This window comes from Homo sapiens, chromosome 18 (genome assembly GCF_000001405.40).
Source record: "Homo sapiens chromosome 18, GRCh38.p14 Primary Assembly".
Classification (NCBI taxonomy): Eukaryota; Metazoa; Chordata; class Mammalia; order Primates; family Hominidae; genus Homo; species Homo sapiens.
The window spans coordinates 6,851,731-6,878,321 of NC_000018.10; the positions used below are offsets into that span (position 1 = coordinate 6,851,731).

General features: G+C 40.1%; 1 protein-coding gene across 14 annotated transcripts in view; it reads left to right on the top strand.

Annotated features, from left to right (window-relative positions):
* The window catches only part of ARHGAP28 (Rho GTPase activating protein 28), a 186,001-nt gene that overhangs the window by 122,015 nt on the left and 37,395 nt on the right, over positions 1–26,591 (top strand). For 12 of the 14 annotated variants that reach the window (NM_001366230.1, NM_001410873.1, NM_001366231.1 and 9 more), the window contains 6 exons: positions 8,078–8,167; positions 16,420–16,504; positions 18,860–19,002; positions 21,679–21,844; positions 21,954–22,045; positions 24,401–24,478. In NM_001366230.1, coding sequence (NP_001353159.1) covers positions 8,078–8,167; positions 16,420–16,504; positions 18,860–19,002; positions 21,679–21,844; positions 21,954–22,045; positions 24,401–24,478 — 654 coding nt within the window. The remainder of the gene's footprint in view (positions 1–8,077; positions 8,168–16,419; positions 16,505–18,859; positions 19,003–21,678; positions 21,845–21,953; positions 22,046–24,400; positions 24,479–26,591) is intronic. The other 2 variants (XM_005258146.3, XM_047437794.1) reach the window with 1 other exon arrangement.

Here is a 26,591-nt window from a genome sequence, read left to right on the forward strand (position 1 = left end):
AACTGTTGATACGCACAACACAGATGGATCTCAAAATAATTATACTGTGTGAAAGAAGCCAGACCCAAAAATATTTGATTCACACAAAATGATAGAAAATGTAAACTAACCTATAGTGGGGGAAAGATAATCATTGATTGGCTCCTGGGGACAGGAGGGAGGGTGAGGAGGGGAGAGAACGAGAGATTCAAAGGAGGCATGAGTCCATTTTGGGGGGTGCTTGTTTTGTTCATTATCTTGACTGTGGTGATGGTTTCATAGGTCTATATAGTTGTTAAAACTCATCAAATTGTATGTTACTTATACTTTATGTACAGTTAATTGCATATATGGTATATCTCAATAATCCTGTTTTTAAAAGTCCATTGAACGTCTTATAATCTCATTAATAGACAACATATTTATTTTTCACTAAGCTACTTACAATAAACAGTCTATTTGTGTGTTACATATGAATGACCTTTGACTCTAATCACACACACCACTAAACCCAAGCACTTACAAAATGTTTACAGTCCAATCTACAGTAATCAGAAACCTACCTTACAAATCAATTCCTATATAGATAAAAGAAGACTTCTTCCTTATGTGCAGTCAACATAAATGAAATAATCTGTCAAGGTGTTGGTTTATTGAAAATGTAAAATAATCCTTCTAGTTTATTTTCAGTGTCTTAAATGATAACCAAATAGCTATACTTGCTTGCTATTGATTCATAATTTACTGCAAAATACAATCATACCATTAGTTAAAAATTATCAGTTATATCTGTTTGCTTCATATAAAAGAAAATCTAAGGAACTTAATTTTAAGCAAGTAGTGTTTTCTTTTTTAAATCACAAAACTAAGAAATTAATGGGGAGTTTACCAAGGCTTGTACAACTGCAAAACAATGTACTAATAGCCTTAGCATGGACTAACAACTTTTTCCTTTCGTGTTGCCGCCTTAGCACGTGGACCTAATCCTTATTCTTACAGGATGGCTAGGAGGCTCCGATACCTTCTTCATACCCGTTAGTGTCACTAAACCAAACTGGGTCGGTTTGCCCATGCAAAATGGAAAGAACACTGAAGCACCAAGTTTTGCAGCAAGAAAGGTTTATTTCAACTCAAATGGCAAGGAGACAGGAGGAAATGCTCAAATCTGTCTCACTGAGCTGGGGCTTGGAGCAAGTTTTATAGTCAGAGGGTAATGAGGTGTGATCTGATTGGATCTTGCAATAAGGTGATGCCAGGAGGCCTGCTCTGACTGGATCCTGCCATGGGGTGATGCCAGGGCTCAATCTGATTAGATCCTAGATCCTGCCATATGGTGTCTGCCTCTTACTTCAGTCCCTGTTCCTCATTCTGAGCACTTAGGTTCCACCCATGGTTGCATGCCTGGTTCATCTGGCATGCTCAGGTTGTGTGACCTTCAACCTGGGGGTCCATGGTGTAAACCAAAAATAAAATTCTAAGGCCTTCAACTATCTGAATGGACCCCTTCTCTTCGCCAAGGGTATTCCAGAGCTATCTGAAAATCTCATTCAGGCCACGATGGAAGAGGGGGTTGGACATGCCTCATTATACCCTCTAGCATTAACATCAACACAGACCTTAAGTCTGATAAACATTTATGGTCTATTCTCTCTAAAGCCTGCTACTTGGAGGCTTCATCTGCATGATAAAACCTAGGTCTCCACAGCCCCTATCATAACTCAGACATTCCTTTCTACTAATAATAACTCAACCAATTGCCAATCAATTTTTTTTTTTTTTGGAGACAGAGTTTCACTCTTGTTGTCCAAGCTGGAGTGCAATGACGTGATCTCGGCTAACTGCAACCTCCGCCTCCTGAGTTCAAGTGATTCTCCTGCCTCAGCCTCCCAAGTAGCTGGGATTACAGGCATGCACCACCATACCCGGCTAATTTTTTTGTATTTTTAGTAGAGACAGGGTTTCACCATGTTGGTCAGGCTGGGCTCAAACTCCTGACCTTAGGTGATCCACCCTCCTCGGCCTCCCAAAGTCCTGGGATTACAGGCATAAGCCACTGTGCCCAGCCCATTCAGAAAATTTTTAAATCTACCCATGACCTGGAAGCCCTACTTCAAGTTGTTCCACCTTTCCAGATCGAACCAATGTAAATCTTACATGTACTGACTGATGTATTATGTCTCCCTAAAATGTATAAAAGTAGGCTGTACTCTGACCACCGTGGGCACATGTTGTCAGGACACCCTGAGACGGTGTCATGGGCACATCCCTAACCTTGGCAAAATAAACTTTCTAAATTGACTGAGACCTTTCTCAGTTATTTTGGGTTCACAATGGCAACTAAAAAACAGCTCACCACTTAGTTACATGAAAGTTGAACCAGATTGGTCTCGGGGGGGTTATATTAGGAACATATGACAACTGACTGTCCATTTTTAACAGGAAACCTTCGATCTCCTGGAAAACTTATATAGTAGAATTTCTCTCTCTCTCTCTTTTTTGACAAACTGTTACACCCTTAGCGTGACCGTATGTTTTTTCTATTCTTATTTTAGTTGCCTGGACCTCATTCCTTTATAAATAAACTTCTCTAGGTTTTTGTGTTTGTTCTCTCTGCAACTTTTTAAATTTTATAAGTTTTGAATTTATTTTGAACTTATTGCTGGAATTCTTAACTTTCACAAAGATCTTCTTTTTATCTTTTTCATCCTGGTCAGCACGTAGTGGGTCTTTTCTGTCTAAGAATAATTTTCTTTCTTCAGTTGCTGGATATTTTCTTCTATTATGTCTTAAATTCTTTTTCTCCCCATTCCCACCTTTCAAGAGCACATATTGGATGCTTTGCTTCAATTGAATAGCTCCTAAATTTTATTGAAGGCAGGCCCCTCTGGAGCTGCCTCTGTGAAGACGCCGGCTACAGCAAGGGAGGTGCAGCCAGGGTTGTGCCTTCCATGGGGCCAGCAGGAGCCAGGAACAGGTGGGAGCCCTGCCCCCTGCTGAGTTGGCAGGGTGGGAGTCCTGTGCTCCCAGGCACAGCTGCAGCTGCCCACCTGCAGCTGCCCACCTGCAGCTCTGGACCCGGGCATCTCTGTACTCTTGGTGGCCTGGGAAACCCCTCCTCCCATAGGCTTGGAAGTGCCTGCTCATGCTCCCTGGCCTCTCCCCGCTCCTGGCTCCCACTCCAGTGTGGAGCAAAGTTGTGGCCCAGCCCGGGCGCTGTTGCAACCCCCCACGGTGTGCACATGCTCAGGGTGGTGCTTACATTCCAGTCCCCTGCCCCCTTGGCCCCCCTCAGAACTTTGGGCACCAACCAGCATGGGAGGGAGGCCGAGGTGGGTGCTGAGGGCAGCTCGGCACAGGCCTGCAGGTGCCCCTCAGCAGGAACAGCCTGGGCACTGCGGATGGCATGTTGAAGGTGGGAGGCAGACAGGTTGCTGGGCAGAAAGGGGCAGGTACCTGGTGAAACCTCACCTTCAAGCCAGGAACAGCCTGAAGCCTGGAGGATGGGCTGCCAGTTCTGGGTGAAGTCTGCTGACCAGAGTGAGGACTCCATTGATGACCATTCAGTCAATTGGATGGTGCTTTTTCCAGGCCCGCCCATGGCCGCTCATGGACCAATCAGCATGCACTTCCTCCCTTCTGAGCCCATAAAAACCCCTGGATTCAGCCAGTCACACAGACATCAGGGACTACCAATTGTGGGAAAGGGCTACCCATTTCAGGTCTCTTCAGGATGACCTGTTTGCCGAAAGGAGCTACCCACCAGGGGTCTCCTAAGAGCTGTTCTGTCACTCAGTGAAGCTCCTCTCTGTCTTGCTCACCCTCCCATTGTCCGTGTACCTCATTTTTCCTGGACCTGGGACTAGAACTTTGGACCCGCCAAATGGTGGGACTGAAAGAGCTGTAACATAAACAGGGCTGAAACACGCTTCCCACTTGCCACATTGTGGGCAACTAGAAGGAGAGAAGAGCTGTGTCCCTTTGGGGAGCCCAGACCTAGGGGCTCTCTGAGCCAGGGCTGTGACACCCTCTTTGGAGCTCTGCAGTTCCGGGGATCTCCAGGCTTCTAGGCACCACCGCATTCCCTGGTGCCCACAGTGGAAGCCACCTGTGGTACACCTGGTCCAGCCGTAGCCTTGTACAGAGCCAGTGCCTGTACTGGCACTTGGAGCTGCCTGCCCCACTGCAGCTGACGTGCCTGGCTCTGTGCTGTGGCTGGACCCTGCGCTTGCTCACACACCCCTTGCCACTCCGCACCTAGCTTGCCCTTGGCAGGCGTGGGATCTGGGCCAGTAGCACAAGCCGAGTGCAGCCTGCTGGGCCAAGTGGGCGGAATGAACCCAGTGGGCGGAATGAACCCAGTGGGCCCGAGCAAAACTCAGACAAAGGCACCACCTGTCAAAGAGGCTTCCGGCTAGAAAAGCGACACCCTAAGGATTCTGTGAAATTAGCTCATATTAGTCTGTTTGCTCTGTTTTCTAGTTTTCTTCAACTTTATGCTCCAGATTTGAACATTTTTTCTTGGTCATTATTGTATTTTTATTTAGCTTGTCTCACTCTTTTTATAATTTTTGGCAAACAAATTATTTCCCAAAGCAGTTTTTTAATCTCTAATATACCCATTATTATAGCAATATAATCTCAATTCAAAGCAGCAATGGCCCTTTTCAGTTTCTCAGAAGGTAAGAATTACATTTTTTTAGGGAATCAAATAATTTTTATGTTTTCTTAAATTGAAGTATAACTTACAAACTGTAAGTGTCTACATTTTAGATGTATAATTCAATAATTTGGGTTGTGTTTTTGTTTTTTTGTGTTTTAGAGACAGGGTCTCACTCTGTTGTCCAGCCTGGAGAGCACTGGCACAATCATAGCTCACTGCAGCCTCAAACTCCTGGGCTCCAATGATCCTCCCTCCTCAGCCTCTCAAGTAGCTGGGACTACAGGTGTGCATCACCACACCCAGCTTCAGTTAATTTTAACAAACGTTATCACCCATGTAATTACAGTTAATCAAAATATAGAACATCTCCATCACCCAGAAATTTTTCCTGGGCCCTGTCAGTCAGCAGGCCCCCCATCCTGGAGAAGCAAGCCCAGCCGTGATTTCTAACACCTTAGCTTGGTTTCCCATTTCATATAAGTCTAATTATAGTATGTTCTTTTATGTCTGGCTTCTTTAATTTATAATAATTTTGAGATTCATCCATTTGTTGTATGTTTTAAAAATTTAGTCCATTACTAAATAATATTGCATTGTATAAATATACCACTATTGATGTTCACCTGATGATGGACATTTGGATTGTTTACAGTTTGGAGTTATTACAAATAATGCTGCCCAGAACATTTATGAGTACAAATGTAGAATAAAGTATATAAATTGTCATTTCCCTTAGGTAAAGATGCTACATAATTCAGATTGTGAGCAAACACAGCCACATCTCCCCATCACCCATAGCTGTTAAACTTAGTAAGGAATAATTTAATAGGTAAATCTAAAATAACTAAATTCTATCATTAAAAAAGATCTGCAGGCAGAAACAACAACAAAAAATCATTTTCTGTTGCATATCCTGTGTGGAGGATGTTGTCAACGAAAGCTGGGTCTTCATGGGCTCACACAGAAAAAATAACAGACTCCTGTATAAATATTTTTTTCAGTATCAACATAGATATAAACGTTTAGTTTTTTCCAGTGATTTTGGAAATGTAAACATCGCGTGTGGAGAACGCGTTAGCTTTTGGAATGTGTGGCAATCTGTGATGCGCACAGTGAAGTGAGTACCATGTGGTCAGGGAACTGCACGCCTCCCGCTGGGTGGCAGCGAGTGTTTTCAGGTTTTAGGTTGTGCCTCCAGTGGAGGGAGAGCTTCTGACCATGACTATCAATCTGAGGTGTTTCATCTTGTCCTCCTCCCCAGCCCCTCCCCCAGTCCCGTCTATCAGAATCTTTTACAGCAGGAGGATGATAGGATTCACCCTACGCCTTCACCTAAGGACACAGTGTGTGAAAGGTGTTCTGCAAGGCAGAAGCTGTCGGTACATTGCAGATAGAAGGAATTACAGCTCACCGGGCCTCTAAAGTTTTCTGCAGAGGCATAGAGCTGGACTTTATTGATTTTCCGATTGTATAGGAAATTATTGTATGTTTCCTTTGCAGTTGAGTAGATCTATTTTCCAGAAAGGCCAAAATTGTTGATTGTGTGTTTGTGTGAGTAGGGGGTGCTTAATAATGTGTGTAAAGGGGATAGGTTGGTTAGGATGCAGGCTCCTCAAATGCAAAACCAAACTAATGAGGGAGATAAAAGCTGATTTCATTTCTTGTTCTCCCCTCCATGTCTTTTGTTGTGGCATCTGGAGTTCCTTCTCTCTTAGACTTCTGTACTCAAACTAGGAATTCATTCATCCCCAAGGCAACAATTTCATTTAATTTAGATCGCTTTTTTTTTGGTGTTTTTTCCTTGGGTTATATTTAGTTGCTGTCTACATATTTACGGCAAGAGAGGTCTGCCTGGCTCCTATTTTTCTAAACATGTCTTAATTATTTGTCTGCGGCCCTTTCTTATTCTTTGTTCATTCTACATTATTTGTTTTTCTCTTCCCTTCCTAGAAATTTTATTTTATGTTACATTTAGGAAGAGATTTTTATCTTATCAAACCAATCCCATTTGCTTTACACCTACAAATTTCTCATTTGGCCTGCTATGGAATTCTTCGTTGGTTTCCAGTGCTATTCAAAACCTTTTCTTCTAAGAAATATATATTTTTCTGCCATTTGTAGTTATTTGGGTGGCAGGGGAGGTAGATTGTCAGTTCACCATCTTGACTTAAATTTCTTTCTTTTTTTTTTTGAGACAGAGTTTTGCTCTTGTCGCCCAGTTTGGAGCGCAATGGCACAATCTTGGCTCACTGCAACCTCTGCCTCCCAGGTTCAAGCAATTCTCCTGCCTCAGCTTCCCAACAGGCATGCACCACCACACCCGGCTAATTTTTGTATTTTCAGTAGAGATGGGGTTTCCCTATGTTGGCCAGGCTGGTCTGGAACTCCTGACCTCAGGTGATTCTCCTGCCTCCCAAAGTGCTGGGATTACAGGCGTGAGCCACCATGCCCAGCTGACTTAAATTTCTTGTACTAGTTCTTGTTTCTTATTTGTTTCTTTAAAAAAAAAAAAAGATCTTTGTTCATTTTGTAAAATAATGTATAGTATCTCTAGAAAATTGAGAAAATATAGTCAAGCAAAATACATTCAATCAAATGCATTAAATTTTGCAATAAGTTTCCTTGCTAAAGAAAATAATATTCACATCTTAATTTCAGTGGCACCATACTACACTGCAACAAAAATCTCTTAGTTTCAGCTTTATTAAAACAACAACAACAACAACAAAAAACAAAATTTGGTACTATTGCTACTAAATTCTATTCACTACAAAAAACAGTCATAGAATCTGCTAAAAAAAAATTATGACATTAGTCCAGTTAAGTTTGTGTTTGGATACATGTAATCAAAAAGTTGGAGTTGTTTTGCTTCACATGGAGACCCCTTCAGATGGGTGGCCCATGTCTGATAGGCCAGCCGCATGGACACAGCCAGGCTTGCTCTTCTGTCCCTGACTTCTTCTTGGTGCCCATTGTCCTCATTTGTACAACATGCCTGGCAGCTCCAGGCTGTCGTCTGTGGTCCTGTCATGAGCATGTATCAAATGAACCTATATTTTTTTCTTAATAAATACACTTGGTAAAGTTTCACTTACACCTTGTCGGCCACGTGACCCCTCTTAACCGCAAATGAGCCTGGAAATCAGGTTTTTTGATTTACCCCAATTCCCTGGAACAAAACCAAGATACTGTTAAGGCAAATGGAGTTTGTGGCAGGCACATCAGTGTCTGCCACAGAGGCCAGTGTCCTTAGAGGGCTGGGCACCTACGTGGCACATAATAGTGCTGCACTACCAGTTGGATGCAATTGTCCATGCACAGGCAGTCATAATTGCATATATTGCCACACATATCTCAGTATGAACACAGAGCAGAATACACAAACACATTAGAAAGTATTTGCCTGAATAAGAATGGTACTTTTATTTCTCCATTTAGCCAGATGATGCTTCTCTCAACAGTACTACCCTGTCTGACGCATCCCAGGATAAAGAAGGGAGTTTTGCGGTTCCCAGGAGTGACTCTGTGGTAAGTCATCCATGTCAGCACAGTTACATGTCAAGGTACAGTTGCAAGTCAAAGCAACTAATGTAGGAAGGTAAGAAGAAGCAATTCTTTAAAACATTAAAAAATACTTGAGCTAAGATTGCAAGGAAACCACAGCTGCTGGTAGAACTACTAACTTTGTAAAAATTAGGAAGAAAGAGGCTCAAAATAAATGAGGACTCCATGGATTCATGTCACTGCAGCCAGAAATCAAAGGATGTTTTTTATGTGTATCAATTTGGAGGAATTTGTTAACTTTGGTCTTCTCAGCTGAGCTCACTCAGAAAAATCCCAGAGGTTTGATGACGTGGCTTAACTACCGTCTTAACCCAGAAGTTCCTTTTACCCACAGGATAAATTCAAAACCTTCATCTTGATGTTGAAGGCTCTCCACTATGCCTTAGTTCTCAGGACTCACTCATGCAAACTCTTTACCTTCAGATGAATTCATTCACTTGGTCTTAAGTAACAGAACTTGTACTTTTGTTTTGTCAAAAATTTTTGTCATTCCCCCTCCCGTCACCCCCACTGCGAATCCCCATTCATTGTCTCTGAGCAGGAGCTCTGCAGGGAGGATATGATAGACCCTCCACAGAAGACAGTGAGAGACCCCATCAGATGAGGCAATTGTTTTCCAGTGGCTGGTTGATGGAAGGCAGCAGTTAGCACAACAGCCACTCAGATGGAGGTGGCACATTCAAAGGTTCTGCTGGGGCAGTTTTTCCTCAACCCCTGTCCATTTCGAGAAACAAGGAGCTGATGACATTTACATGCATGACACATTCCTAGGAAATCCCTGTTGTTTAGGGAGATAATGCTGTTAGCCCCACATAAATTAACTTTGCTGTTGTGTTTTTAGATTTTTGTTTATGGTATTGTTTTGTTGCACAGTGATCATGTAAGAGGAATAAAATAATATGAGTGACTTTTATCATTGATTAACTTACTAATAACTCTGTAGGTTATGGCATAAATAGGCTGAGGGTTACCCACAATATCTGACCCACTGACTGTAAATCAGCTCTTACTTTCCCATTCAAGACCAGGCATTGGGATGCAAATGAGTGAGAGTGTCTCTGCTTTAGACGTCATCTCAAATTCATCTCACTTATTAATGAAAACAAAGTCAGTCATTCACAAAGTCTGGTAACTGTTCGAATAAGGAGTGACCTGCAGTAGATCTTACACAGTTGTGCTATTCCCTTGTGACTGGGGACTCGTGCCCTGAGGACTTGCCCAGGATCCTTTATCTTCCACCACAGCTTGTGGCACCCATGTGCCCAACAGTCACCCCTGCATGGCAGCCTCAACTCTGCCTCCCTCCTCCCCTCTTCATGCGCATCTCTGAGACCTGTGAATTTCATCATGTGAATGGTTGTAAAATCTTTCTGCTCCCCTCCTGTCTTACAGTCTCTCAGTACAGAAACTCATTGTTATCTTCTGTACTGCTGAAGTAGCCTCCTAAGTGATCTCCAGACTTTAGCTTTATTCCCTTCAAATTCATCCCTCCCAGAGCCTCAAGTCATTGATTTAAAATACAAGTCTCGCTTACAGCCTGCGGTGGTTCTCCAACTTTCTAGTTAACCTGGAAGCTCCTGACATGGTCAGACCCCTTGTCGGCCTCTGTAGCTGGCTTTAACACCCCCAGCATTTTGTACAAGCAGCAGCACAGGACTGCGTGTGGTTCCATGCACACACCACCAGAACTTGGAGGAGGATGATTGTATGATTGAGTTGCCAAAGGAGAGGATGGTAGGCATGCCTTCCTTTCTAGGTGTTTCCATGGCAGCTCCATGGCCACAATTTTATTTCTGGTAAGACTGCTGGTCATATTTTTCTATTTCTTTATTCTTAGCTGCGAATTTCTTCGCATCGTTGGTTCATTCAGTCATTCATTCAGCAAATTCTTACTGAGCACATATTGTCTACAAATAGGCTTTTTGCAAGTTTGAGGGTATAAGAGAAAGAAAAGGGTCTTGTGTGGCAGTTATAGAGCTGTCCAGGGTAAGTTAATCACCCAGATTTTATTTTTATTTTCATTTTGTTTTTTTCTGAAGGCAGGTTGAATGCCAGTAATGACATAAATAAAAGTTTCAGCAGTATTGGGTCTAAAAAATATCTCACTGGCACTGGCCTTCGACTTGACTTACCTTGGATTGTTTGTTACTCAGAGTATCTTTTAGAAAAGGTAAACAAAATGATTATTTGCTAGAGTGGCTCACTGATGCCAAGTTATTGCTTTGGTAACTACATTTTGGGCCCTGTGCTTCTTGGTTATAAGGAACCACAGGGACCCCAGTTTGATTTCCCAGTCTCTTCTAGAAGGAGGGATATCCGGTAATCAAATGAAGCAGGGGCCAGGGCTTCAGGGGTCCTGTCTGTGACACCTGTAAAAATAAACCTCTCCTGCCAGGCTAAATTCCCGGGGCCAACTTACTGTCACCCCCAAGACTTCAGGGGGCCCCGACAACTTGCCCTACTGGAATTTATGTTGTAAAATGGTAAAAGAAGGTAACCTAAATTATCTTTTCCATAAGATAGCCATGACCTAACCCATATCTTTCCCCCAGTCTTTAATCATTTCTTCATGTTTGAAATGCCAACTTTATGAGAAGTAAATCCACCAGGTTTGCAGATGTCTGTCTCTATGGTTTGTTTTAGAAATCTGTTAGGGTAAGTTCCCCTTCATCAAAGTCTGCATTAAAATTTCCTTTGGCCCTTCTTAGAAATTTTTTCTTCCAGATGAACATAGAAAAAGGCTATGACTACCTCATAAAAAATCTTGTTATGACTTTATTAAGAATTTCATTGAATTTAAAGATTAATATTGGAGAGAGAATCCACATCTCAAAACATTGAGTCTTCCCATTGAGGAATAATAATTGTGTCTTTCCATTTATGTGTGTCTTCTATCCTTCAGTGAGGTTTTATAATTTATTCCTTTAAGTCTTACACGCATTTTCACACATACTAGTTTGCATTGGTATTTAAACCGTAAGATTTTTAATGATATTTTCTAGCTTGTTTTGCAGATATATAAGGAAAGTAGGTTTTTTTGTTTCTTATAAGTGTCTCCTTTAGCTTCCTTCCTGAAGCTTTTCTGCTGCTAAAAATTTTTCATTTAATTTTATGATTTTTCTCAGAAATCATCTGCATATATGGAAAATTTTATTGACTCAGTATGTAAAATAATTATTTATCTCATTGTTTTCCCTTAGAGGACTGACCACAATCACTTATAACATTGATTAATAATTATGAGGATCCTTTGATAAGTTCTTGATTTTTCTTATGAATTCTTCTAATGTTTCATCATTAAGGAGAGTATTTATTCTAAGATTCTGAGCTTTATAATTGTTTTAATCAGGAATGGAGTTTAAATTATATCAAATGATTTTCCAACATCTGTTAAGATGAATGTAATGTTTTCCTTCTTTAATCAATTACTTTAGGAAGTTACATTGATAGGTTTTTCTTATATTGAACTATAACACAATAAATTGGGTTCATCCAAGAAATAAAATAAAATTGGATGAACCCAATTTATTGTGTTATGTTATTCTTTTATTAAACTGTAGAATTTGATTCACTACTATTTTAGTATTTTAACCTGTATTCTAGTAAACAGGATTAGTCTACACATACAATTTATTAAAATTTGTTTAGCAGGGTTATGCTAACCTTTGTACAAATATGTTGAAAACTCTGGGTTCTTTTCTGTACCTTGGAGCCATTTATCGAACTATGATATAAACATATAATATATAAATCTACACATATTTATAATTTGTATATATTTTTGATATATTTAATAATTTGTTTATGAAACCTCCAAAGCCTGATATCATTGTAGGCATAAAGCTTTGTTTAATTTTTTTTTTTTTTTGACGGAGTTTTGCTATTGTCTCCCAGGCTGGAGTGCAATGGCGCGATCTCGGCTCACTGCAACCTCCACTTCCTGGGTTCAAGCGATTGTCCTTCCTCAGCCTCCTGAGTAGCTGGGATTACAGATGCCCGCCACCACACCCAGCTAATTTTTTTGTATTTTTAGTAGAGACAGGGTTTCACCATGTTGGTCAGACTGGTCTTGAACTCCTGACCTCAGGTGGCGTGAGCCACCACGCCTGGCTTGTTTATTTTTATTTTTATTTTATTTTATTTTATTTTTGAGACGGAGTCTTGCTCTGTCACCCAGGCTGGAGTGCAGTGGTGCGATCTTGGCTCACTGAAACCTCTGCCTCCCGGATTCAAGCCATTCTCCTGCCTCTGCCTCCCCAGTAGCTGGGACTACAAGCGCACACCACCATGCCTGGCTAATTTTTGTATTTTTAGTAGAGACTGGGTTTCACCATATTAGCCAGGCTAGTCTCAAACTCCTGACCTCGTGATCCACCTGCCTCGGCCTCCCAAAGTGCTGGGATTACAGGCATGAGCCACCACACTGGGCCTGTTTAATTTTTTAATGGATGTAATTTAAGGGTTAGATTATTTTCTATCCCAATTTGTATGAATTTTGGTAATGTGTATTTGCTTTATCAAGATATACAGTTTATTTCAAATTACAAGGTATGTTGTTATAAATTTATTGTGTGTGTACACATATACATGCATACACATACACAAATGTTTATTTACATTATAATTTTAAATTATCTGTGATGGTAAATATTACTCATTTTTGTTTCTAAAATGTGTGCGTTATATCTTAATCAGACTCTAAATAGTTGCCCGTATCAGCAATATATTTTAAATTAATAAACTTTATTATTATTTATTTATTTATTTTTGAGAGAAAGTCTTGCTTTGTCACCGAGGCTGGAGTGCAATGGCATGATCATGGCTCACTGCAGCCTTGAATGACTGGGTTCAAGCTGTTGGCCTATTTCTGCTTCCCCAGTAACTGGGATTATACGTGTGCACCACCATGCCCAGCTAAATTTTTTTTTTTAAGTAGAGATGAGGTCTTGCTATATTGCCCAGGCAGAACTTTATTTTTTAGAGCAGTTTCAGGTTCGCAGCAAAATTGAGTGGAAAAGTACAGCGATTTCCCATATCCCCCCATTCCTATGCATGCCTAATCTTTCCAGCAGCAATATTTTTAAAGAGATAACTAACTTTATTTAATTGTGCCTATTTTTTCCTATTGCAATAATTTATTCAAATCTTATTTTTTTACATTCTTTCTTGGCTCTACTTGGATAATTTTTTCTCATCTCTTAGAGTATGAAGATATTTCCCTTAATTTTAGTCATTTGCATTAAAGTTAAGAATCTCTGAATAAAACTTTGGCTATTCTCATGGATATTTGGTATTTAATGTTCTCATTGTCTTAATATTTAGGTATTTAGGTTATAATTTCAGATGTGAACAATGTTTTAATTCAAGACATCATCAGAATACCTTTAAATTCATGTTGAATAGATTTTGCAAGTGTTATATCTTCTGCTGTAAAATGCATTGCATATTTGTCAGTGAATGTGGCTTCCTTAAGTTGGTCTCTGGGGACTCTGGCACAGTGTTTTTTGCAAGTTGTGGATTTGTCCATTCTGATCTTGGTTGCAGAACAAGAAGATGAGGAGCCTTACTGTCTTGGTTTAATCAAGCACAGGTGGCTTTAGTACATGGAGTCATATAGCACAGAAACTCAAACCATGGGCAAAAACCAAACAGCCAGTCAGAGAGATCATAAACATGTTTTGAGTCAGTGAAATTTTAAGTAGTGAACAGAGCATTGAAAATGTTTCGTATGGTCTTTATTGAATATGGAGGACATACCAGATAACTTTAGTCAAAGTCTAGGAGAAAACTATAGCAGATAGTACCAGGCTCCTACAATTTAAAATTTAACATAATAACCCCTCATACTCTACTTTCCAATCCTAGCTTGGTGTAACTAGGGCAGCAGAGCAACTTTCAGCAGAGGGAAAACACCCGTTGTGATTCTGTCACTTCCCTTAGCAGTGAAAGCCCTGGTGAGAAACACATGTGGTTGATCACATTAGGGAAACGGTGGGCTCAGTTATGAACAAGCTGGGGAAGGTTGCTTTAAATGGGGGTGGTCTTTATATTTAAAATACATTAAAATCACTAGTACAAATCAAAAACGATGCTAGTCGTAATATAATCCTTAATGAGGAACGGATGTTTTAAAATGATATATGTCAAGCATCTAGCCTTCCTGCTCAACCTACATCCCAACTCAGGTAACGTTTATTGGCTGCCACTGTTCCTTCATCTCCACCATGAATCATTCTTCTGCTGTAACACAAAGATGTGCATTTGTTTGTCTTGCTCTGTTTTGTTTCTAACCTTTAGGATTCTAAGTCTCAACTCTTTGACGTGGCTTTCAAAACCTTCCATAATTTGCACTGACTCTCCTGATTAATTTATTTCTTATGTTTTTCTAATACCATGACTTGACTCCTGGTACCCCAGTCTCTTCATGATCCCTGGTGCTGAAATGCTTCAGATATTTCCATGCCTGAAATTTCTGCTTCCATCTCCATCTGGCCTGAATGCTTCTGCATGTCTCCTCTTGCCTTTGGAAGTCCTTTTCATTATTCCTTAAGTTCCAGCTCAAGTCCAACCACCTCATCAGTGGAAACCTTCTGGGCAGCACCTCTTCCCTCTCAATCGCTCTCCAATAACACTTGCAGTTGGTATTACAGAAATTAGTTCTTAACAGTGGCTTCATTTTCGTAATGCTTTGTAAGTGTTATTCTGTTCTTCTCATTGTAAGTAGCTCAAGAGCAGGGATTATGACTCAAATTTCTGCTTCCCCCAAGAAAGTCCCATAATTATTTACATTACAAAGAGCAGGCACTCATTCAGTACAATTAACTGGCTAGGGGCCAGTAAAACTGTCAGAGAAAATTAAGATAATGACACTCAGTAGGTTTAAGTATCCCAAACCATCAGTTTCAAGCCCTAAATAAATAAAAAAGTCTTATCAATTTTCAAAAGAGTCTTCTCTCCCATAGGTAAGTTATTTCAAAGTCTGACAAAGCATTTCTTTGTTGGAAAACTTAAGGAAAGGGAAAAGTTGTCCACATCTCTTTAAGGATTTGAGTGTCTGGGTAATCTTTATTCCGTATTGTTACTTGTAGAGCCACCAAACATTGGCCAGACAATGAACCTACATGACCCTAGACCTTTTTTCGGTTTGTCATTCTTCCACCAATTACAGTAATTGGGCATCTATGTTTTAATAATTGGACATCTATTCATACACCATTTACACAATTATAATTGTATCAACTGTTTTGAAATAAAATAGGAATAAAAGGAGATCATGAGGCTCAGAATTCAAGACCCCTTTGCGCAACTTGTAGTACATGATAAAAGACCTTTCATGAAGCAGGTGTTCAGTTATTGCTAAAGAAATATGAGAATAAAAAAAGAAATCAGGCTCTGGGGGAAAACATTTTATGTGTGAATAGCATATAAAAGATTCTTGATGGAGTAGCAGATTTCACTATCACACATATTCACAGAGAACTCCCACATTAAAATTTATAAGATTTGCATGTAAATTGTTTTGATAGGATTTGTGTGTAAATTTTTACTGATACCCATCCAGACCTAGGCAGGAGTTTGCTTCACAGGCCTTTACCAGGATAGGTACTCAACTTCTGATAATACTGAAGGGGAGTTCAGTGCTCTGGCAGGATTTCAATTTAAAAAATACCAAATTAATTAAGAGGGGAAATTGAATTAGAAAAGATACCTAATATTTTGTTAGTTACTATCACTCTGTGTTTTGCTGTGAGGGAATTAATATGTTAATGTTATATTAACAATATAATTAATATAAGTAAGACAAAAATGCATGAAGATTAATTAACAAATGATATTATAATTATCGAATTATATGACATCAGGCATCATAATTTCTACATCTTAGCAAAGGTATAAGCAGCAATATCAAATTATGTGATGTCAGGAATCATAATCTCTACATCTTAGCAAAGGTATAAGCAGCAAATATTTAAGAGCTAGGAAAGCACAGTTATATGGACCTTACATTGTTCCCTTTTGTGAAACATGTGTAAGCTGCACACATCCAAACTGAATGCAGAAACAGGAAATCAGATGCCGGTCCTTTATGAAATCAAGAATGGCTTTTTTTATGTGAAAATAACTCTTGTATACTGCAGAACATAAGTCAGGCTGAAATGTGAGGTGGACTGTATTTATGGTAAAATGTTTTGTGTTCATCTTCCTTTGCTTGGCAGGCTATACTTGAGACCATTCCAGTTCTACCAGTTCATTCCAATGGATCACCGGAGCCTGGACAGCCAGTTCAGAATGCGATAAGTGGTGAGCGGCATGCCTCCTGTTGAACTTCAGCTGTGTCTTCTCGCTTTTGTTCTGGCACTCAATACAGTTAGCAGTGAATTTCTAAAAGCGAAGTATAAGTGTGCTTTTCTCCCTGTTGTGATTCTGTCACTTCCATCGCTCACTCCTTCCACCCAACTCCAAACACCCCATTCTGTCACACAAGACAAAATTAATAGAGCCAGATTGGAAGCAGAATCTTTTCCTCCTTCACGACCACCTCATCATTTAGAAACTCCTCACATGGCTAGTGTCTTTGCTTTAAAGGCTGTTTCCCAAGTGATGTGGTCTGCCAGGAGTAGGCCACTTCTGAGGATCCCTACTCACTGCTCAGGCACACGCAGCACCAGAGCAGCTTGCCCCCTGACAAGGCTGCTGGGGAGGCTTTTATCTGCGCCTCTTCCGCTTGAGAGGTGGGCTCCCTAGATGGGCTAGGTATGGAATCTCAGATCCTCCTTGTAGGAAATAGGCCCCTTTTGGCCATATTTTTGTGATTTCTCAGTTTTTCCCAAAATACATGCATTCTTTTTGTAAATAATGGATCCTGTGCTTTTTTCAGCATTGGCTTCAAAAATAAAGGTGCTGAGGTGATGAAAATGTTCTAAAATTGATCATGGTGATGGTTGTACCACTCTGTTAATAAGCTAAGAACCACTGGCAGGTACACTTTAAATGGGTGAATCGAATGGCATGTGAAGTGTATCTCAATAAAGCTGATAAGAAAAAATAAAAATAAAAAAGAAGGGACTTGCCAGACATTAGTATTCTACATCATTCTATTTGTTGCCATACTGTGACTTAGTTGCAATCATGCCACTAAAAACCAGCCTTCTACGTGGAATTGTCCTGTGGTTTGGAGCATTGGCCTGTTTAATTGCTGCTCTCCAAAGAGGCTCTTTATAGATCCATAGGTAGTTAGAGTTCTATTTGTTTATCTTCCTCTGTTTTGAATGCAAGCCCCTGTATAACAAGGGAGCATCATAGCTCTCCTTTTGCCATTCTTTTTTTTTTTTTTTTTTTTTTTTGAGATGGAGTTTCGCTCTTGTCACTCAGGCTGGAGTGCAGTAGCACGATCTCAGCTCACTGCAGCCTCTGCCTCTTGAGTTCAAGTGATTCTCCTGACTCAGCCTCTTGAGTAGCTGGAATTACAGGTGCCTGCCACCACACCCAGCTAATTTTTGTATTTTTAGTAGAGACGGCGTTTCTCTATGTTGGCCAGGCTGGTCTCAAACTCCTGACCTCAGGTGATCTGCCCACCTCAGCCTCCCAAAGTGCTGGGATTATAGGCATGAGCCACTGTGCCTGGCGTCCCTTTGCTATTTTCTAAGTTCTCGCTGCACTCATTTATTATTGTGTTTTTAATTAGCATCACTATTCAGAATTTTTATATCTGTTGACTTACAAATTTCTCCACCTAATTTTAATGTAAAATTAACTAAGTTTTCTTTAATTCTGCCTTTTGTTCCTTTTGTTATACTTGGTAGTCCCCTAGTCAGTGCCTACAGCAGAGGGCAAAAGAGAATGAGTTCTTTTTATAATAAAATAATTATTCACTTTGCATATGAACAGTTTTGCCAGGCAATGAAACCAGATGACAAGCTGAAATCTGAATCCGAAATCAGGTTAGGATCGCTCAAATGATTTATGGATTCACTTGTTTTTGCTCAGTGACTCTTTTGTCTTAACTTTCAAATTAGCTTGAGAAAAACATTTTTAAGGGGTACTACATATAACCCATTCAGCTTTTTCTCAATGTATGTCATACAAGATCAGGTAACCAATATTAAATAACAGAAATTCCGATTAATTCACCTGAACAAATTTAGCCATGAAATACAAATGGAATTTGAACAAACCTTAAGAGGCAGATATTCCACAGGTGAGGGAAGAAACAACAGGAGTCAAAGCAGAGAGGAATTCTAGCAGTTTCCAGCCTTTCTTCCTCTGCTTTAAGCTTCTGCTTACCCGTAACAGTGACATTGGGTCTAGATGAGCTTAATTTTAATATCATAAGAATATATAGAAATACCCTATTTTGGACTTTCTTTTAATAATCCTCAGCAACTTTCATGAGACATACAAATCTAAAATTTTAAAAATCAGAGTAAATAGTTTGTTTGGGCAATGATGATAAAAATGTGTCCATATGGAGGTCTGTGATGCGACACTGTTGTTTAACTGAACTCCTCGGGGTGAGTCTGCTGCTTTTCCTCGCATATAAACACTGTAACGTGCTTGTGGATTCACTTGTAAATATTTTGAATTTGTTTTATAGCAAATAGTATTGATTGATTAAATAGCATATTAAATAGTCTGTATTCTTTGTTTTGTCTTTAGATGATGATTTTCTGGAAAAGAACATTCCACCAGAGGCTGAAGAGCTGTCATTTGAAGTGTCTTATTCAGAAATGGTTACGGAGGCTCTAAAAAGAAATAAACTTAAGAAATCAGAGATTAAGAAAGAAGACTATGTTTTAACTGTAAGCAAAACCTTTCATGATTATTCCAGGAACTTCCTGTGACTTCATAGGACAAAACTAAGATTTCTTTTTCTTTTTTTTTTTTGAGACGGAGTCTCGCTCTATTGCCCCAGGCTGGAGTGCAGTGGCGCGATCTCGGCTCACTGCAAGCTCTGCCTCCCGGGTTCACGCCATTCTCCTGCCTCAGCCTCCCGAGTAGCTGGGACTACAGGCACCTGCCAACTTGCCCGGCTAATTTTTTGTATTTTTGGTAGAGATGGGGTTTCACCATGTTAGCCAGGATGGTCTCGATCTCCTGACCTCACGATCTGCCTGCCTCGGCCTCTCAAAGTGCTGGGATTACAGGTGTGAGCCGCCGTGCATGGCCAAGATTTCTTTTTTTAAATATCTGTGTGTGTGCACGGGGATTTCAGCGGCCAGGCATCACACTGCTCACACTACCATTGGGGGTGTTATGTGGGCACCACTTGTTGTGCAGTGCACAGCCTGCCTGGCTGTACCTGTGTGGAGGAAAAGTTGTGAGGCTGTAGGCTTGAATACTGTTTTACAAATGAAATAGGATTCTACCTGCCTGGCTTGTGAGCTTTCTTGCACTTTATATTCTTACTTTTCTCATACATCAATGCAGACCCTACCTTTACACACTTGTGCCTCTATAAGCCACATATCAGAAGAGGGGACTGCAAAAAGTCACAGTCATGAGAGGAAGTGAGAGCTCATGGAACAGACAATAAAAACACATCAAAACCAATTCAAGAACTTCTATTAGTACATGATGGGCAAAGAGAGCTATATACTTTGTTACCCCCAAAGTCTCATTATTTATATCCAGAATGTTATATCCAGGAGGCCTAATAGAGAACGATGTAACATTGGTCTGTTTGCCATTCAACCAATGCATGTGTGAAAAGTTTATCTTGTGGAGTCCTGAATACTCTGTGCTGATTACGGTTGGATGCTTGATGAGCAGGGCCCAGGCAGTTTCAGAGCTAAAAAACTGAGTCATGCAGAAACAGACTTTTTGTACCAGGTGACTTGGACCGTTCCCAAACAACCATCCCATGACAGAGGACAGGAAGAGGAAAGGAAGAACTCTAGGACTCACGGAGTGCCTTCTACGGGCCTGACACTATACTAGATATTCTATTAATAATGTAAGGTGGACCCTAGTGATTACGTCCATTTTACAGCTGAGGAAACTGAGGCCCAGAGAGGCTAAGTAACATGTCCAAAGTCTGCAGCTAGTGGGAAGCAGAAATAGGATTTGAAACTAAGTGTGTCCAACTTCAAAACCCTTCCTGGTCCCTAAGCAGTCTGCAGGTTAGAGGGCAACATGTGGTGGTCGAGGGAAAAGAGAGAAGCCTGCAGGACTCTGGTTTCAGGGGGAGCCCCTCCTTATCTTAAAGAGAGGCATGCAAGAGAGGATGCTGGCCCCTGCATCTCCTCATCGAAGCCAGCTCCTTCTGAGGTTTGGCTCTTCCCATGAAGAACTTTGCATAGGATTTAGCACATAGTAGTTGGTCAATAAGCGATTGCAGTTTTTGTTTATATTGTTGTTATGTGTTACTATTATATGAGGACTTAGCCTCAGAAAGAAGGTAAACTAGCTAAGCATTTAATAGCACAAGGCATGCCCCAAGCCACATCCTATATTTTGTTTCATTTTTAAATTCTTGAGGTTCCAAGGAGCAATTATTGAATGAATAAAAGAATGAATGAATGGGCAGATACTTTGACTACCCCAAGGAAGCTCCAGTTTAGGAAACTCCTATGGAAAATGTGAACTTAAAGCTTTATAATTTAAATTTAAGTGTTTATAATTTAATCTATGGGGTTTTTTTTGTTTTACTTCAGCATTTTTTTTCAATACCACTCTTTCTGAGGGCAAAGTGAACCTGTGGATATTATATAAGAATAATCTTTTGCTTCTAAAAGGTCTTGCTGCTGAAATTCTTCACAATATTTCTGGATTGTTGAAGGATTTGCTGCTGTTGTTGTTTTAGTGTCTTTTGTTTCTTGTGTGAAAATAGAGAATATGTCAGTATCGTTGTCTTCAAAATCATAGTAGGATTGTTTGCACTTTCTCTGTATTTGCTTTTTTAAGAATTTGGAATCATTTAAATTTAATTTTTATGGTAGAATAACTGTTGTCTCAGCAAGCATATATAATCAGTTTAAACTGGGAGATTACTAAAAGTCTCTTAAAGTGTGCAGTATGGGATAGATAAACCTTGATTTAAAGATTGACTGCCCAAGAAGGAAAAAAAAAACATATGTTTAGAGCTCTCCTGGGATATACCTAGGTGTGTTTCCTGTTATGTGTGTGTCACATTTATTCCAATTAAGGGCCATGGTGTGTGCATTCCATGTGGTGCCTGACATGTATGTTGTTTGACAATATTGGGTGTTCCTTATAAAGAAGGCAGTTTCCACAGTTGCAATGGCAATGTTATCATATACTTTAGACTGCTGTTTTGCTTCTAATTAGCATAGCAGTGATCTGCACATTGTTCTAAACCACATATTCATATTTCTAGGATGCAGCATGCTCCTTAGAGATGTTTTCCAAAGAACACGTTCTACTGCATAGATTTAGAGTGTCCAGGTGGCATTTGAGTGAACGCATAATAATTTTCCTTTGCCATAAAAAATAAATACCTTCACTGTGTGTTTTAGAAATTTAATGTTCAGAAAACCAGATTTGGCTTAACTGAAGCAGGAGATCTGTCTGCTGAAGACATGAAGAAAATCCGCCATCTCTCTCTGATTGAATTGACTGCCTTTTTTGATGCCTTTGGAATTCAACTGAAAAGGAACAAAACAGAGAAAGTAAAAGGACGAGGTAACTAAGAAGACTGATTGCTTCTGGCTTTAACACTTTGACACAGTGGAATAAGATAATGCTTTTCTAATTCTTTTTTTTTTTCCCCCTTTACTGTCTCACAATGAAGACAATGGGATTTTTGGAGTTCCACTTACAGTCCTCCTGGACGGTGACCGAAAGAAAGACCCTGGAGTGAAAGTTCCCCTGGTATTACAAAAAGTGAGTAGCAGGCAAATGAAAGGGGAATTCACAGAGCCTCATGCTTATGATTTGGCACTTTGTAAACCCACAAATGAATTTTCTTTTATATTTAAAGACACTATCGCCCTATTAGGACTCAGGCCCCTGGTGATTTTCAGCTTTATTCCATGCACCGCATAACGGCCCATGGCGCCTGGGCCAGTTGGCCTTGCTGCATTCTTTTGGAGCCTGTTACATTTTGTTTGCCTATAACACATCAGGTGACAGACACAGATGGTCTGACCCAGGGCACGAACAGTTGCATTTTTTTCCAATATTTTTTCAAATGTTATTTGCGCATATGAATGTGTTTGTGTGTGCATTTGATTATTCTATCTAGATAAAGATGACCATTAATTATTACCAATGCATATATAAATCATACAAATATTTGCTGAGATATAGCATAGGCTGGGTTTTAAAAATGTGTATATGTGTAATCATTTTATCAATTTTCCAAACCAAGTTTAATAAAATCTAAAAACCAGCATGTTCCAGTCATTTTCCGGTGTGTCTGGGCAGATAGGATACATTTAGACAAAAAGAATAATTTTGGTGGAAGGAGGTTTCGAAAATGATATTATCTGAACTATAAAATGCTAATATCTCTGTGACTATTGTTGCTGAATACCTGATTTGCTTTTAAGTCATGTTGTTTTATAGCCAGCAATTTATACTGGTTTTTACCTAAGTGTGCATTTATTCAACAGTGACATCCAGTGGCACAATTAAAATTCCTAGTCCTTAACACAAATTTTGTGGAATTTTAAATTGAGTTTTTAAATGATATTTTAAAATATTGTCTAAGGAAACATATACTTACCTGACACTGATAATCATACATCACTTGTTTAGCTTCCTATATTTTGCTACCAGTGCCTCAAATTGAGATACTTCTCAAGTCAGGTGACTGATTGGCTGGAGATAGGAGCCAGGAAGATGGCACCGAGATGGCCAGAGGATACAAGCAACACCTTTGTACACACGGGCCCTCTGTGGGTGACTTCCCTAGGCAGGGCTGTGCCAGTGCTGTTTATGTAATACCACGTCTAGTCAGCACAGAGCAGCCCAAAGAGGCTGGTGTTACCACTGCCCTTTTACTGATGAGGCAACTGAGGGATAGAAGAGTGAGAAAACTTAGCCAAGACACACAGTCAGCAAGAGGTGGAGTGGGAAAAGGAGCAGTAGCAAAATCCAGAGTCCATGGTGACGCTGAGATTTTCTTTCCTTCATTGAGTTGAAACCAGCATTGTCTTTGTCCTGTATGTAAAGGACAGAGTTTAAAATATCAAAATCAAAGACGATTCAGCACATGAGTTTATAGTACTGTGTAGGTACAAAAATCTAGCGTAGAACTTAGCAAATAGAAAGTACTCAATAAATGCTAGTTAAACTAAATATGGATTTATATCATATTGGCAACATGTTAGCTGTTATTACTACTGGATGTTAAGTGTTCCTCGCTACGACACCTCAAGATAGTACTCTCCCACTCCTACAAGAGAGGCTTTTCTTACAGACATGTTTCTTCTTCCTAAATGTCTGTTTGCCTCCATACCTAGAAGAATTACCTTAGTTCCAGGTACCATCCACCATCATTTCTTGAAAGGAAAATAGCAGAGAAGCTGGATCCCCTTCTTACTGGGTGAACTTGGCCAAGTTATTATCCTTTCCAGAGAAGCACTGTGAGGTGCTTTATTACAGTGAATCGAACTGTTCTCCTTAGTCTCCTTAGCAGTAGAATAGGGTTATTGTGAGGATTAGATGAGTTAATGCAGGTAAAGGACTGAGAATAGGAACTTACACATAATCAATGCACAATAAATGGTAGTGTTTATTACTTTTTTAACACCTATCACCATCCTGAGAACTCACGAAAGCTATTAATCTTTACCCCGTCTAAACTCCTTGATCAGACATCTAGAATTCCTATAGTTTCTTAGTCAGAGTGATTGCAACCAATGACAGTAGATTTAGAATCTCTTGTTACTGATCAGTCTGCAGAAAGAGTTATAGTAATCAGATCTTAAAAATGGTTAAGAGGCATGTATAATTTTAGAGTGGTTAAGAGCACGAACTTGAGTCAGTGCCGTTACTTACGAGGTTGATCTTGGGAAAGTTGTATAACTGCTATAAATCTCTACTTTCTCATTTGCATGTCGGAGGATAACGTTGACGTCATAGGATGGTTATGAACATTTAACACAGCATTCAAGTGCCAGGCAAATATATATATGCTTGGTAACTTATTGATTCATGTCATCATTGTTACTGTTTCATATGTTTATGATCATATAGAGGTACTTATTCTGGTAATATATCATTGCTTTCTAGTTTTTTGAGAAAGTTGAGGAATCAGGTCTGGAATCTGAAGGAATTTTTCGACTTTCAGGATGTACTGCTAAAGTCAAGGTACCGAACATTTTGTCTCTTCCTAGGTAGAGTTCTAAGCTAGCTAGACCCAGTTCACACAAGCATCGGGGATCCAGATATTTGTTGTTGTTTATTAGATATTATCACTTGGTCCTTCCTAGTATTCCTTGGTACCTGTGGTAAAATGTTTGTTCCAGAGTTTTTTCATGATCCAGAATTTTAAAAATCAAAACGGAAACATTAAAAAACCAAAAACAACAATGAAATAGCACATCAATTCACCATCAAAAACTGCTGCTTGCCTTTAGTTTGGAAAAAATGAAATAGCACATCAATTCACCATCAAAAACTGCTGCTTGCCTTTAGTTTGTAAAAGTTGAAACGTCTCACTGCTGTTTTGGAGGTTAAACACCTTAGTTTGTTGTGCTCCTCTCAGCCGTGGAATTCACTAAGCCAATGTTATATGAGTCTTTATTTCCATCATTCGTTGGTTTAAACATTCTTTGGCTCTCCCTTTAGTGAAAGCTCTTACAGGAATTTGTAGCAATGGCTATAACCACTAGAATACTCACTCAGCAGTTCCAAAACCCAGTTCCACTTACAGTAATGTTAACATCCACATCTAAAACCAGCTGTTCAGTGTGAATCTTATTCTTTTGCTTTCTTACTTCCATGAGGTGGCAAACTCTACAGTACAATAAAGCAAAGAACTGTTAGAAAAGAAAAGCTTTTCTCATAAAAATCCAGCAAAACATCCCACTGTGTCTGCGGGTAGGCATACACCATGGAGAGCTCATTCCTGTGGTTGGATCACTCCCTGTCTTGCAGATGTGAAAACCTGAGCAGTTTTAAAAGCTGGATCCCTGAGCAAACAGTCTCAGGGGCAGGGGAAAACCAATGTGGTAATGTTTATCAAAAAGACATTTGTAGAGGCAAAACAGCATCTCTTCATTAATTCATTTTGGTACATGCTTTGGGAAATTCTATTTGTATCAGTATCAGAGTTTTTATATAGAAGTGTGACGAGAGGTTTTTCTAAGTGGAAACTGAGAATAGATAGGCTGCGTCTATTGGATCCTCCAGAAAGCAGATGCTGAGATGGGTGAGGAGCGGAGGAGAGTCACGGCGGTTCTGCTTCTGCAGGATGAAAGGGGCAGGAACCAGGATTGGCTGGGGTGAGGCTCTAACCACGGTGCAGGTCAGACAATTCCTAACCATGGAGGAGCCGTGTGCTGGGCAGAATGGGCAAGGCCCTGGTACCCATGCCTCACCCCGTCGTGGGCTGGGGCTTCCTGCAGAAAATATGGCTGAGCCACATCCAGAAGGGGCCCACAGCTGGGAGAGTCGGCTACCTGGGCTTTTGCACGTGAGGGCAAGGTCTTCCGTGAAGCGAGGTCGGAGCAGGGCACCAGGGCATCAGGGCTCCGGGCATGTTGAGGGGTTACGGCTTCCCTGAGAGTGGAGTTGGCTGAATGCTGGCACAAGTTCTTGTGGAAGGCAGGGAAATGCCCAACGGCTCCTTAAGGTTTATGCTTTCTAGGGTGCATCTGCTTTCTGTCTCCGTTTCTCGTGTGTTTCGTTCTTACATACTCTTCTAAAAAAATGTATCCTACAAGTAAGGATGAAAACCATTACTTATTTTGGTTAAATCTTTGGTTATATCTGCAGAGTCAGAGAACCAAAATGAAAGAAAGAAATTTCCTAAACAGAAACAGATTCCATCTCTTGAAACCTCTGTCCATAATTGGGAAACTGTATTTGCACATATTCTTACTGGTTCCTCTGTGTGTGTGTGTGTGTATGTGCATGTGTGTGTGTGTATGTATGTGCCTGTGTACACATGCATGCATGGGTGTATAACATGCATAATGCATATGATTTAAATGTCCTGTTTCTAAATCACCGAAAGGAGAAAACATTACAGAGCATTGTCCAACAATGATAGACTGGATTAAGAAAATGTGGCACATATACACCATGGAATACTATGCAGCCATAAAAAATGATGAGTTCATGTCCTTTGTAGGGACATGGATGAAATTGGAAATCATCATTCTCAGCAAACTATCGCAAGGACAAAAAACCAAACACCGCATGTTCTCACTCATAGATGGAAATTGAACAATGAGAACACATGGACACAGGAAGGGGA